Genomic DNA, 14,351 nt, shown 5'->3' on the forward strand with positions numbered 1-14,351 from the left:
AAAATTAGCTGGGTGTGGTAGTGGTGGCCTGTAATCCCAGCTACTCAGGAGATTGAGGCTGAAGAATCGCTTGAACCCGGGAGGTGGAGGTTGCAGTGAGCTGAGATGGCGCCATTGCACTCCAGCCTGGGCCACAAAAGTGAAACTCCGTCTCAAAAAAAAAAAAAAAAAAAGAATAAGAGGATAGTGAAAAAACAACTTCATTAGAAATTTTGATGAGTTTAAACATAGTAAGCCTCAATTTTTATTCCAGATTTTCCTAGTTTTGAAAGTATACACACAACACACACGCACATACCCTGATCTGGACCAGGTTCTTAGCTACAACTAACTGCTCATCAACTGTCATGAATGGATCTGAAACATAACTTTTTTTTCTTTTTTTCTTTTTTGAGATACAGTTTTGCTCTGTTGCCCAGGCTGGAATGCAGTGGCGCGATCTCAGCTCACTGAAACCTCTGCCTCCTGGACTAAAGCAATTCTCCTGCCTCAGCCTCCCGAGTAGCTGGGATTACAGGTGTGCACAACCACCATCCAGCTAATTTTTGTATTTTTAGTAGAGACTGGGTTTCACCATGTTGGCCAGGCTGGTCTCGAACTCCTGACCTCAAGTGAAACGCCTGCCTCAGCCTCCCAAAATGCTGGGATTACAGGCGTGAACCACTGCGCCCTGCCTTTTTTTAAATGCAGACTCCACGTTTCAACTCCGATTCCTGGTCCTTCTTCCACTTGCACTGTCAAAATGCAAACTTTTAGAAACTTTGACGGCTCATAGTTTGTTGCAAAGAGGATGGCCATCTTTGCTCCATAATTGCATTTTTACATTTATGTGAAAATTACATTTTCATTTTTGGTCATATAACACCAATTCGAATTAGTGCAGTAATTTTAAAATCTGTCTTTAGTGTCTGTTTGCTTCTAGCTACTTTTTTATATATGTACACATGCTTTCAAAATTTGTCTGTTGACTCACTGCATTGAGTAATTTTTAATGTGTTGACTGTAGATATTGATGTATCTTTTAGGATTATACCATATACATGGAACAGTTAATTTACTAGTTAAGTTACTCCTTACCAAGCCACCAATTACTAGATCTTAGAGTGCTTGTAGGTGAGATTCTTATATACAACTTGTGAGATTTTTTCCCCTCACTTAATAGCATAGTGTGAGCATTTTCCCAGCTTATTAAACACTCCTATAACTTTATATAATATAGTCACAGCTATTGCTTCACGCAACGAACATCTGTCTATTAAGTACCTGGCTGTGGTGCTTTCTGCCAGGTATGAGAAAGAGATCATTTCCTTACCTTTCTTTTTTTTTTTCTGAGACAGAGTCTTGCTCTGTCACCCAGGCTGGAGTGCAGTGGCGCCATCTCCGGTTCACGCCATTCTCCTGCCTCAGCCTCCCAAGGAGCTGGGATTACAGGCACCCGCCACTCCGCCTGGCTAATTTTTTGTATTTTTAGTGGAGACGGGGTTTCACTGTGTTAGCCAGGATGGTCTCGTTCTCCTGACCTCGTGATCCGTCCGCCTCAGCCTCCCAAAGTGCTGGGATTACAGGATTTCCTTAGCCTTTCTCTGAGGCACAGTCTTTCTTAAGAAGTCATCATCTACCTCCAAGATTTATTTACCAGCAGTTTGCTCTCTTATTGCCGTTTTGAAAGACACCATTATCATGTATATAAGATTTAAAACCTAGTTTTAAAATTGTAGGAAAGTGATACTCTTCAAGTAATTCAAATGAAAAAAGTTGCAAGTAGAATCCTTTGTATCATTTTCTCCTGTCTGTGTGTATTTAAAATACACACACACACACACACACACACACACACACACACACTCTCTGTCTCTTTATAGATACTTACATATTCATAGGATAAATCTGGAAAGATGCACAAGAAACCTATAGCACTGGTTGCCTCTCAGGAAAAAGACAGAGGGACAGAGTTCGGGAGAGACACTCCCTATCCCCTTCTGTGTTTTGTGAAAATCAACCACAGTGTATGTATTACATGCACAAAATAGTATTTTGATAAACATTATGCAAATTTTCCAATAAATTGTGTGCTACAATTGCTTATTTATTTGTTGCTAAGTAAAACCACTGTAGCCTATATATATATATAAAATGTATAAAATTATGTATGTATATGCCTGTATGGGCTTTTAATAGATAAGAACTGTGTAGTATTTTAGTTTCAGATTCATTTAATAATTACGTATTTTTTTAAAAAGCAGATAATAAGGCTTGACTAAGAGCTTATAATAAATGAAAAATGAAATCAGTGCATTTAAAATTTCTAAGGCATACTTTAAATGTGTTTTTTTAATACATTGAGAGTGCCCACCTGAAATTTTCCTGATTTTTAAGATGAGAAACTTATTAGTATATGAGAGTTTATATCTATTAAATAATTATTAATTACAGTAATAAGACCCATTTGTGATTTAGGCCAAGGGTAGAATTGATCGACTAAAATATTGAGAAAATAGTGAGAGAGTTATTTTGGTGATTCATTGTGACAAACCTCAATAATAATTATATCAAAGTAAGCATTACCTCATGGTACTTAAGGTAGACAACTTTAGAATTATATTATTTTATTTTACTATATTTTATTTTATTTTATTTTTTAGATGGAGTTTTGCTCTGTCGCCCAGGCTGGAGTGCAGTGTGGCGCAATCTCGGCTCACTGCAACCTCCGCTTCCTGGGTTCAAGCGATTCTCCTGCCTCAGCCTCCTTAGTAGCTGGGGCTACAGGTGCCTGCCACCACACCTGGCTAATTTTTTGTGTTTTTAGTAGAGGAGGTTTCACATGTTGGAGCGCAATGGCGCGATCTGGGCTCTCTACAACCTCTGCCTCCTGAGTAGCTGGGATTACAGGCACCCGCCACCATGCCTGGCTCATTTTTTTGTACTTTTAGTAGAGACGGGGTTTTACCATGTTGGCCAGGCTGATCTTGAACTCCTGACCTCAGGTGATCGCCCGCCTCAGTCTCCGAAAGTGCTGGGGTTATAGGCGTGAGCCTCCGCACCTGGCTGGAATTACTTTATTATTTGATATTCCTCAAGGGGTGCAGAACATATGAATGAACGTATGGCACTGTGGTGAAAAGTTGTGACTACATTCTTGGTGGTGTGCTTGTATGTCAGAACTCTCAAAATGGCAGTTATGTGACAAGGATGCATTTTGTCATAGAATTTTAGCACAATTTTCCTGTGGTTATCAGAATAATAGATCACAACTCTATTCCCTACATCTCATGTGAAGAATTTTTTTTTTTTTTTTTTTTGAGATGGAGTTTTGCTCTTGTTTCCCAGGCTGAAGTGCAATGGCGTGATCTTGGCTCTCTGCAACCTCCACCTCCCGGGTTCAAGTGATTCTCCTGCCTCAGCCTTCTGAGTAGCTGACAGGCATGTGCCATCATGCCCGGCCAAGAATGTCATATGCCTCTTTTTTTAAAACCATTTGATAATGGCAATCATTAAGATACAGTGTTGACCTAAAATTGCCTAGTAGACCTTACCACATAGGTGTGTTATATTAAATATTTTTTCTTTTGTTTACAGCTCGTTCTCCGAAAATGGTGTGAATTGATTCCTGGGGCTGAGTTTCGATGTTTTGTCAAGGAAAACAAGCTTATTGGTGAGTTTTTGTTTGTTTGTTTGTTTTATCCTTCAAAGTCATCTTTAAAAGAAAACAAGCTTTTGTTGGAAGTAAATTTCCAGTAATTAGGACAGGGATGTCAATCTGTTTTCATCTCAGATGCCACCTCTAACCAGTTGATACTGACTCTCTGGAATGCTGTGTTGACAGGAATCCTGAGCCCAGAGTCACTTGCCGCAGGAAACGGTATTGTCAGATAATCATGGCTGTCTGGATTCCAGAGATAAAAATGGTGGTTGTCACTGTTCCTGATTTAGGAATCAGGAACTCTGTGTATGGAATTTTCCTAAGCAGTACTTAGCAATAGTCTGCTTATTTCAAGCGTCATAAAAAGCCAAGTTTTGGAACCTTTATTTCTATTATTGGGGCACTGTTTATTATTCTAGCAAGAGAAAATATGTGGACAAGTAAGTGTATTCTTCTAAGTCACCCATTTTCTTTCCTCTCAGGTTACTGTTCTGTTTGCTATGATTGATTTAACTTAAATATTGAAGATAATTTGTTCTTTATTTTGTTAATGCATATTTTCCATGAAGTAAAATTTATCTTCAACCTAGAAAAGTGTAATTTGAATACAATCACATCAGCACTATTGATGCATTGAATGTGATGTTGAAATGTATGAACCCACCTGAAAGAAAGTTGGGGTGTTCACATTTCTCATATTGCTCGATATTCTTGAAGAAGCTGCAGTGTAAGTACTCTAAAGCGGGGGGTCCTGTTGGCACAAGATTCAGGAATAGGAAGCCCGTATTTCAGAGCAGAGAACTTTTCCCTAGGACTGGAGCAAATTCAGGGAGTTTGTGTAATAGTCCAGTTAGTGTGTTTGGAATCTTGTCAGCAAGTCACTCTGAAAAAAGGAATGTTTACTTTTCCATGGCTTGAACGAGAGCAGGCTGTGAAGGCCAAGTAGCATGTATGAACAAGAAAAATAGACTGCTTCTATGCAATACAGTATGAATATGGCAGGCATCTCTTGAAGAATATTTGATATTTTCCCAAAGAAAGTGGAAGAGAATACCAATTTGCAGAGACTCTTTGGAAGAAAGCAAAGCAGCAGCAGTTGATTATGTGTGCAGGTTTAGAATTGCTGCTTTAATTTTTTACATAACAAGACTTTTTGTGACTTTGAATTCCTTCCATTTTACTAAATGAAAATAACTGTTTCCATGGGCAAGGTGCTGTGGCTCACACCTGTAATCCCAACAGTTTGAGAGGCCAAGGCTGGAGGATTGCTTGAGGCCAGGAGTTCAAGACCAGCCTGCGCAATGTACTGAGACCCCGTCTCTACAAAAAATAAAACGATGAGCCAGGCATGGTGGCACATGCCTGTAGTCCCGGCTACTCGGGAGACTGAGGTGGGAGGGTCACTTGAGCTCAGAAAGTGGAGGTTGTAATAAGCTATGATTGTGCCACTGTACCCCAGCCTGGGCAACAGAATGAGACACTGTCTCTAAAAAAAAAAAAAGGCCAGGTGCGGTGGCTTACACCTGTAATCCCAGCATTTTGGGAGGCTGAGGTGGGTGGATCATGAGATCAGTTCAAGACCAGCCTGGCCAAGATGGTGAAACCCCATCTCTGCTAAAAATACAAAAAAAAATTTGCTGGGTGTGGTGGCAGGCGCCCGTAATCCTTGCTACTTGGGAGGCTGAGGCAGGAGAATCGCTTCTCGGGCAGCAGAGGTTGCAGTGAGCCGAGATCGTGCCACTGCACTCCAGCCTGGGCAATAGAGTGAGACTCCGTCTCAAAACAAAACAAAACAAAACAAAACAAAACAAAAAGTAAATTCTTCCAGAAGTAAGAAGACATGGCAATGTAGGACTTCAGGATTCACCTGTTCATATGAATCCTTACAGCTGGGTCGTGTGTAATGCCGTACCCATCAGGGTGATCTTCTAATCTACTTTAATGGTTCTTTCCACAAAATGTTTAAATCACGTATTGATGTTTTTGAAAAGAATATTGTATAATAACAGGATGTAAAATATTTTCTTGTCAGGTATTTCTCAAAGAGACTACACACAATACTATGATCATATTTCTAAACAAAAGGAAGAAATTCGCAGATGCATACAAGACTTTTTCAAGAAACACATACAGTACAAATTCTTAGATGAAGACTGTGAGTATTTTTTTATTGATCCAGTAAAATGAAATGAAATATACATTGTTACTGGACCTTATTTACTATGGTGTGTATCCTAATAACTAGATTTGAAATACTGTATTGTAAGCATTTTACTATATTATTATTTGTTATTTTTGATAGTTTGTATGTTAATTTCTTTTTATTATTATTATTTTTATTTGGAGACAGTCTTACTCTGTCAGCCAGGCTGGAGTGCAGTGGTGCGATCGCGGCTCGTGCAGCTTCCACCTCCCGGGTTCAGGTGATTCTCCTGCCTCAGCCTCCCAAGTAGCTGGGGCTACAGGTGCACGTCACCACACCCGGCTAATTTTTTGTATGTTTAGTAGAGATGGAGTTTCGCCATGTTGGCCAGGCTGGTCTTGAACTCCTGGCCTAAGTGATCCGCCCACTTCAGCCTCACAGTGTGCTGGGATTACAGATGTGAGCCACCGCACCAGCCATGTTAATTTCATCTTATTTAACTAAAATCTATTTTTACTGCTAAGTCAGTTCCCTGTCTTGTTTTAGATGTTTGATTGTGTATTTCAAAGGGGCTATCTACAGAGAACAAAGTCTATCTACCTTTCTAGCTTCTTTGAATGATCAAAGACAGCACCAGTTACAAAGTAAACATTTGTGGGTTGTTTTTAGGAATTGAAAGTATATTGTGTAAGAGTTTTCATACATCTGAAAATTATATCTGCTATGATTTACAATTTCTCTACTTGCCAAGACTGGGCTCTGTGGCAGATTTGACTTAAAATAAGATGAATCATGCTTCAAGGCTCATTAGATTTTATGCTTTCTATTATAAGCTTTACTCATTGCATTCTACCAGATCAGTGATTGATGCCCGTTTCACTAGTACTTTGCTCAGTGACTCCCATCTTTCCCATAGAACCAGTCTATAACGGGGAACTGGTTGAGATGATATTGGCGTTTGGTTTGAATTTTTAAATATAGGGGCTTATGGTTGGGGAACAGAGAACAGTAAAGCAAAGTTATATAAATAAAACATTGCAGGATGCCTTTTTATGTTTGAAGTTTTGAGGTTTAGAAGCATGAAGTCCTCAGGGTCATTTATATTCTGCTGTCTTTGATTAAAATGTACTTTAATTTTCAAAAGGAGATTTACATTGTGAAATATTAGTTCATTAATAACTGACTTTTTTTCTCCTTTACAGTTGTGTTCGATATATACAGAGACAGTAGGGTAAGTAAAAACTCTTTCTGATATGCTTTAATATAAGAGCTGGTTTTATAAGCAGGCAGAGCATGCCTTTGTTATGTGTGTGAAGGATCCATGCTCAAAAAATATTTTGTCTGGGTGCAGCAGCTCATGCCTGTATTCCCAGCACTTTGGGAGGCTTAGGCAGGGAGATCATTTGAGCTCAGGAGTTCGAGACTAGCCTGGGCAACATAGTGAGCCCTCATCTCTACTAAAAATTAAAAAAAAATTAGCCCAGGCCAGGCACAGTGGCTCACACCTGTAACCCCAGCACTTTGGGAGGCCGAGGTGGGAGGATCACTTGAGGTCAGGAGTTCAAGATCAGCCTCGGCAACATGGTGAAACTCCGTCTCTACTAAAAATACAAAAAAATGAGCCAGGCATGGTGGTGGGTGCCTGAAATCCCAGCTACTCAGGAGGCAGAGATTGCAGTGAGCGGAGATCACGCCATTGTGCTGCAGCCTGGGCAACAGAGCGAGACTCTGCCTCAAAAGAGAAAAAAAAAATATCCGGGCCTGGTGGTGTTTGCCTGTAGTCCCAGTTATGCAAGAGGCTGAGCTGGGAGGATCACTTGAGCCCGGGAATGCAAGGCTGCAGTGAGCCTTGATTGCGCCACTGCTCTCCAGCCAGGGTGACAGAGTGAGACCCCATCCCCTCCTCAAATTTTTTTTTTTTTCTCACATCAACTAAGGTGATTGAAATTCACCATGGTCAAAAATCTCCCCTTAAAATATACCTAACATTAGAGGACTTAATAGCTGAAATCATTGTGTACCATGGTTTAGGGATTCTTTATTGAACAGGTAGGTAAATGAGCACTTACGTCCTATGTCTCATTTGTGTCAGAGGTCAGGGCCTGCTTAAAATAGTTCAGTTTGCACACTTAAATTTGGCCAGGAGTTTGTCACTTGATATTTATATAATTATTTTGGCCGGGTGCAGTGGCTCACGCCCGTAATCCCAGCACTTTGGGAGGCTGAGGCGGGCAGATCACCTGAGGTCGGGAGTTCGAAACCCACCTGACCAACATGGAGAAACCCTGTCTCTACTAAAAATACAAAATTAGCCGGGCATGGTGGCGCATGCCACCTAGCTACGTGGGAAGCTGAGGCACAGGAGAATCACTTGAACCAGGAGGTGGAGGTTGCAGTGAGTTGAGATTGTGCTATTGCATTCCAGCCTGGGCAACAAGAGCGAAACTCTGTTTTTTAAAAAAAAAAAAAAGGGGCCGGGCGCGGTGGCTCACACCTGTAATCCCAGCACTTTGGGAGGCCGAGACGGGCAGATCACGAGGTCAGGAGATCGAGACCATCCTGGCTAAAACGGTGAAACCCTGTCTCTACTAAAAATACAAAAAATTAGCCGGGTGTGTTGGCGGGCACTTGTAGTCCCAGCTACTCTGGAGGCTGAGGCGGGAGAATGGCGTGAACCCGGGAGGCGGAGCTTGCAGTGAGCCGAGATCGCGCCACTGCACTCCAGCCTGGGCTACAGAGCGAGACTCCGTCTCAAAAAAAAAAAAAAAAAAATTATTATTATTATTTTTAGTCAACTAAAAGTGACTCAAAGTTTGAGTTACTTTTATCTTTAGACAGAAGAGGATTAGTTTATTTTTTAAATCTTAAAAGTGATGAAAACTTCTGTAAGGAAAAAGTTAAAGTGACTTACTAGTAAAGTTACTTACTGCTGACTTAATGAAGAATTACTAGAGCAGAGATTTCACTGTCCAAGACATGTCATCTTTATTAAGAAGTTTAGGTCACTAAATGCTGTTTGGTGCTGAGTGCTCTTTGACATTGTGAAGAAGCTAGCAGATGCGTTTTCCCGTGTCACCTACACACAAGCAGAATATTTCTCATTCTCTCTCCGTGCTTAGATCAGCCTCATTGTAAGTGAGACAGTCATTTGAATCTGAATCACCTTTGGACATCTTCGAATCATCTTTGGACAAAAAGATATGGCCCATATGATCATGTCCCAGAATAACTGTTAACTGTTCATTTAACTCTTACGTCAAAAGACATCACTATATTTTCACCTCTTTGTCTTCAAAGATGATGGTGTCTGTTAAGAGTTACTAGAAAGAGGGGCTTTAGGCCATTGTTGTGGCTCACGCCTGTATTTTCAGCATTTTGGGAGGCTGAGGTGGGAGGATGGCTTGAGCCCAGGAGTTTGAGATCAGCCTGGGCTTAACATAATGAGACCTCGTCTCTACATAAAAATTAGCCAGGTGTGGTGGTTTGTGCCTGTAGCCCCAGCTACTCCCGGGAGCTGAGTTGGGAGGATCGCTTGAGACTGGGAGGTTGAGGCTGCAGTGAGCCATGATCATACATGTCATGCCTAGCAGTGAACACCAGGTTGTGTCTGGTCTTCTGCAGTCTGCCATGGTGAATAATCCCGTACGTGTGTCATTTCACACGCTGCAGGTGAATCTACAGGGTGAATTCCTAGAAGCGGGATTGCTGGCTCAAAAGTGAAATGTATTTTAATGTTGCAGTTTACCCTCGGTAGAGGTTACACCTGACCAGATCCCCCCAGGAATGCATCACAGTACCTGCAGGCTTCCTCAGAGCTTGCCTTTACAATATAGGGTTACACTCTTCAGGGTTTTTGGGGTTTCGTAGAGAAATGATGTTTCAGTATAATTTCTACTTCTATTTTTCTTAGTAAGTGAGGATGAAGTTTATCTTTTCATATATTTAAGGGTCGTTTCTGTGAACCATTGCTTCATGTCTTTTTCACTTTTTTCTATTGTCTCATTTTCCTCAAAATAGAGGCACTGTTTATGTATTACAGAGATTAGGCCTTTGTCATTAGTCTTTTCCTGTGAACGAGATCACATAGATTATTTGTTTCTTTTCTGGCTTTTGAATTTCAGCCATCATTTTAAAAAATACTTCCCCATGGTTTTTGTCCAGTTCTTTTGTAACTTCTTGTTCTCCATTTCAATATTGGATGTTTGGCTTTTGTTCCTTTGCGTGTTTGGTATGCGATATGGATCCCCCTTAGTCTTTTTGTCTAGCATCAATATATTTATTTTATACTGTCCTTCAGATTGATGATGATTTCCAGAGTTCTTGGGGCTTTAATGCCTGTTGCGTTTACAGACTCTCATCCGGGTTGGTTGTTTCTTTTTTGTTTTGTAAATCAGTTTATTTATTTACTTTGAGTTCATCTTCAGTGAGCTTGTTCTTTTTGTTTGTTCTTTTGTTTGTGAGAATCCCAAAGATCCAAAATTTTGGGTTTTTCATTTGCTTCTACCATGTTCCTCAAAACTCATTCAGAGAAGAACAGTCATTGTGTCCTGCCCTGTCATTAGAACTGTCTCCTCACACTCCCTTTCCTGAGACTGTCGCCTTCTGGAGTTTGTGTCTGAGTTCTGATTCCCTTCCTGTGGCCAGGCTGCTAGGAGACCCTCCCACGGGTTCCCACAGCACTAGAGTTGATAGGCTTAGTTCTGTTCTTCGGGTTCTTGTTTCTGGCCCCGGGGGATTTCCCGGTCTTTCTCATAATCTCAATTACACTTTTAAACGGCTTGTCGTAGCATGTGTTTCATCCTGTTTGGAACAGCAAGCCTTGAGAGTTACATAGCTGGCTGTATTTCAGGAGCCCTCACATATCTCACACTCCAGCCAAAATAACCTATTCCCGCAACAGGCGGTCGTGGCGTGGCCTCTGTACGTGAGAGCCGTCGTTCTTGTTAAGTGGTCCGCTTTTCCTGCCAACACCACCCTCCTCCCAGGGCATCTCTGTTATCCCTCAGGTGCCCAGGTCCTTTGGGAAGCATTTCCAGCCTTCCCTCGCACATGTAGGCAGGCTCTCCTGTGTGCCTCTCCGCTCTCACAGTTCCCTGTTCTTGCCTCTCTTGAAGCAAAATACCCTGCACATTGCCATTGTTGGATGGCTTTTGGTTCTGTTTTGGGGAAGTGGAGATGTGTGTTCTGCTCAAGCCTGAGCTCTTGGAAGGAGTCGATTTTGTGTTACGATCTTCATGCCCAGTGCCTAACACAGTGTCTGGTCCCTAGAGCTTGATCGGGGCAGGGAGACAGTCAGCTGGTACAAGGACAGTTAGTCCGACTGCTCTTTGCTTATTGGATTGCCTCAAAGCAGAATTAACTTCTCAGGCTGTTTGTGCTTGAGATGTCACATGAAAACATGTTATGGCCGGGCGTGGTGGCTCACACCTGTAATCTCAGCACTTTAGGAGGCTGAGGCAGGCAGGTCACCTGAGATCAGGAGCTCAAGACCAGCCTGGCCAACATGGTGAAACCCCGTCTCTACTAAAAATACAAAAGTTAGTCAGGCACAGTGGCAGGCGCCTGTAATCCCAGCTACTTGGGAGGCTGAGGCAGGAGAACCACTTGAGCCCAGGAGGAGGAGGTTGCAATGAGCTGAGATCGCGCGACTGTACTCCAGCCTGGGCAACAGGGCGAGACTCTGTCTCAAAAAAAAAAAGTTATAAAATCCTGATCCTGATCCTCCTAGTTTATAGAAGTTACAGCTGGGTTTTTTTTAATTTACTTAAACTCTTTTTTTTTGTACTAGAGGATAGCTTCTGAGCTACAGAGTACACTACCAATTAACAGTGGTGGTTTGTTTTCATTTAAAAATGTGTTTTGGGCTGGGTACAGTGGCTCACGCCTGTAATCTCAGCACTTTGGGAGGCCTAGGCGGGCAGATCACCTGAGTTTAAGAATTGGAGACCAGCCTGACCAACATGGTGACACCCCATCTCTACCAAAAATAGAAAATTAGCCAGGCGTGGTGGTGCATACCTGTAGTCCCAGCTACTTAGGAGGTGGAGGCAGGAGAATTGCATGAACCCAGGAAGGGGAAGTTGCAGTGAGCCGAGATCTCACCATTGCACTCCTGCCTGGGCAACAAGAGTGAAAAAAAAAAAAGGAAAAAATGTGGTTTGGTTTTTTGCATTGTGGCATATTCCTATATTAAAAGTGTGATTGTTTAAAAAAAAATGAGTTAGTTTTACTGACTATAAAAAGCCAAGTAGAGGCTGGGCACAGAGGGTCACGCCTGTAATCCCAACACTTTGGGAGGCTGAGGCAGGCAGATCACGAGGTCAGGAGATCGAGACCATCCTGACACAGTGAAACCCTGTCTCTACTAAAAATACAAAAAATTAGCTGGGCGTGATGGCGGACGCCTGTAGTCCCAGCTACTTGGGAGGCTGAGGCAGGAGAATCACTTGAACTCGGGAGGCGGAGGTTGTAGTGAGCAGAGATCGCACCACTGCACTCCAGCCTGAGTGACAGAGCGAGACTCCATCTCAAAAAAAAAAAAAAAGAAAGTCAAGTAGAAAAGATTTGGAGGTTAGAAAATGTCCATTTTGTATCATGACATATATTGAAGACATCTTAGCAGTATTCTCCAAAATAAAGTTGACATCATTACCAAGAAGTTGTTTGACGGCTGATACTGTTTCACATAGTTCCAGGAATGAAGAAGTGGGTGCCAAATGGAGGTGAGGAAACAACTCAAGCGGTGAGAAATTTGCAGGGCCTCTCCTGGGGCTTGTATAAAATGAGGAACTTACCTAAATGGGTTGTGCTGAAAACATCCTGCGAAAACATCCTGCGACAGGCCTGTGCCACTTAACTGGAGGTTCTGGTATTTGAAGCAAGTCCTAATTAGATGTTGCATCTTTCTTAACAGTTTGCTCTCGCTCAGCTGAGAAACAGTGCCAGATATTAGGCATGCTGGCTCAGCGGTCTTGTTGCTTGGAATTTCACAGACACACACCCGCTCAGGACATGGCGGCAACACATTTATAGAAAAAAACAAATTCATTATTAACCAGATGGCACAAATATATGAATGTTTCAGTGAGAAAAGTGAAAAGGAGCAAAGATAAACCTTTCGAGGAAACATCCATCCACTTCGTGTCAATAGGTGTTCGTGATCGGATGCCGTGGCCGTCATTCCTGGCGGCGCAGCCCCTGTGCCCCCGCTCTGTGCGTGTCAGCACTGGCTGTTTTCTGCTCAGAGGCCCCAGCCCTACCTCAGCACAGTGCCCCCAGCTCAAAGGTGACCTTTCCCTGAGGAGAGTCACCAAATTGCCCACCTGTGGTTTCAGAACAGGACAAGGTAGACATTTCTTTCAGAGGTTGGGGTGGTTTTTTTTTTTTCTTTTTTCTTTTTTTTTTTTTTTTACGTCCCCTTCATATGCTGTCAAGCTCTATTGTACAGACGGAACACTTACCACATTCACATAGAAAGAAAACAGCATCTTCAGGCTGGGCACGGTGGCTCATGGGGAGGCCAAGGTGGGAGGACATTTGAGGTTAGGAGTTCGAGACCAGCCTGGCCAACATGGTAAGACCCTGTCTCTAGTAAAAATGCAAAAATTAGCCAAGCATACTGGCGCATGCCTGTAATCCCAGCTACTCGGGAGGCTGAGGCAGGAGAATCGCTTGAACCTAGGAGGCGGAGGTTGCAGTGAGCCGAGATCGCACCATTGTACTCCATCCTGGGCAACAGAGTGAGACTCTCACAAAAAACAAAAAACAAACAAAAACCACAGAAAAAAACCCAGCATCTTCATCCTTGCATATGGTAAAAAAATCCACCCTTGGCAGCAGCCTTTCCCGAGTCAGAAGCGCTGCTCTCTGGAGTCGCAGGCACTGCCTGGCTCCGTCCGGCTCCCCCTGAACAGAGCACTGAAGGCTCCGGGAAGACGCTTTGGTCAGACCGCAGACCCTTCGCCTTTGGGTGACAGTTCCCTTTCCTGCTGGAATCTTTTTTTCTTTTTTTTTTGGAGACCCGGTCTTGCTTTGTCACCCAGGATAGATGGAGTGTGGTGTTTTGATCACGGCTCACAGTAGCCTTGACCTCCTGGGCTCAAGCAATCCTCCTACCTCAGCCCCCTAAGTAGCTAGGACTACAGGCGTCTGCCACCGCAATCAGCTAATTTTTATATTTTTTTGTAGAGATGGGGTTTCACCATGTTGCCCAGGCTGGTCTTGAACTCCTAAGCTCAAGTGGTCTGTCCGCCTCAGCCTCCCAAAGTGCTGGGATTACAGGTGTGAGCCACCATGCCCGGCCCTGCTGGAATCTTTGACTTAAAGTTCCACTGTGGCTTGAGGCTGGAGTTGGAACGTTATCTCTTAGGCAGAGCTTTACTGGGTCCCTTCTCTCTTCATTCACAGGGGGCCCTCCCTTTAGATCTCTGTCTATTCAGACAGGCGGCCCTTTCTCAGATGGGATATAGACAGATGATCTTTTGAAATAAGTGAGAAGATTTTTAAGATTAGAATAATATGAAGAATATCTTTCTGGCCGGGCGACGTGGCTTATGTCTGTAATCCCAG

The 14,351-nt window shown here is 42.7% G+C and overlaps 1 protein-coding gene across 2 annotated transcripts in view, besides 2 other annotated features; it reads left to right on the plus strand.

Moving 5' to 3' along the window:
* Positions 1-14,351, plus strand: part of CDC123 (cell division cycle 123) — a 54,402-nt gene that overhangs the window by 35,284 nt on the left and 4,767 nt on the right. For both annotated transcript variants that reach the window (NM_006023.3, XM_005252638.5), the window contains 3 exons: positions 3,577-3,652; positions 5,673-5,795; positions 6,986-7,014. In NM_006023.3, coding sequence (NP_006014.2) covers positions 3,577-3,652; positions 5,673-5,795; positions 6,986-7,014 — 228 coding nt within the window. The remainder of the gene's footprint in view (positions 1-3,576; positions 3,653-5,672; positions 5,796-6,985; positions 7,015-14,351) is intronic.
* Positions 6,357-6,501: an enhancer, noted in NCBI's record as "145 bp enhancer 241 fragment used in the MPRA reporter construct; PK_construct_1190". NCBI's record gives its function as "activates an SV40 promoter by MPRA in HepG2 cells {active_cell/tissue: HepG2}" and the evidence as "EXISTENCE:reporter gene assay evidence [ECO:0000049][PMID:23512712]".
* Positions 6,423-6,434: a transcriptional cis regulatory region, noted in NCBI's record as "FOXA motif; enhancer activity is reduced when this motif is scrambled". NCBI's record gives its function as "necessary for full MPRA enhancer 241 activity {active_cell/tissue: HepG2}" and the evidence as "EXISTENCE:site-directed mutagenesis evidence [ECO:0005528][PMID:23512712]".

Source organism: Homo sapiens, chromosome 10, assembly GCF_000001405.40.
Source record: "Homo sapiens chromosome 10, GRCh38.p14 Primary Assembly".
In the NCBI taxonomy this organism is placed as follows: domain Eukaryota; kingdom Metazoa; phylum Chordata; class Mammalia; order Primates; family Hominidae; genus Homo; species Homo sapiens.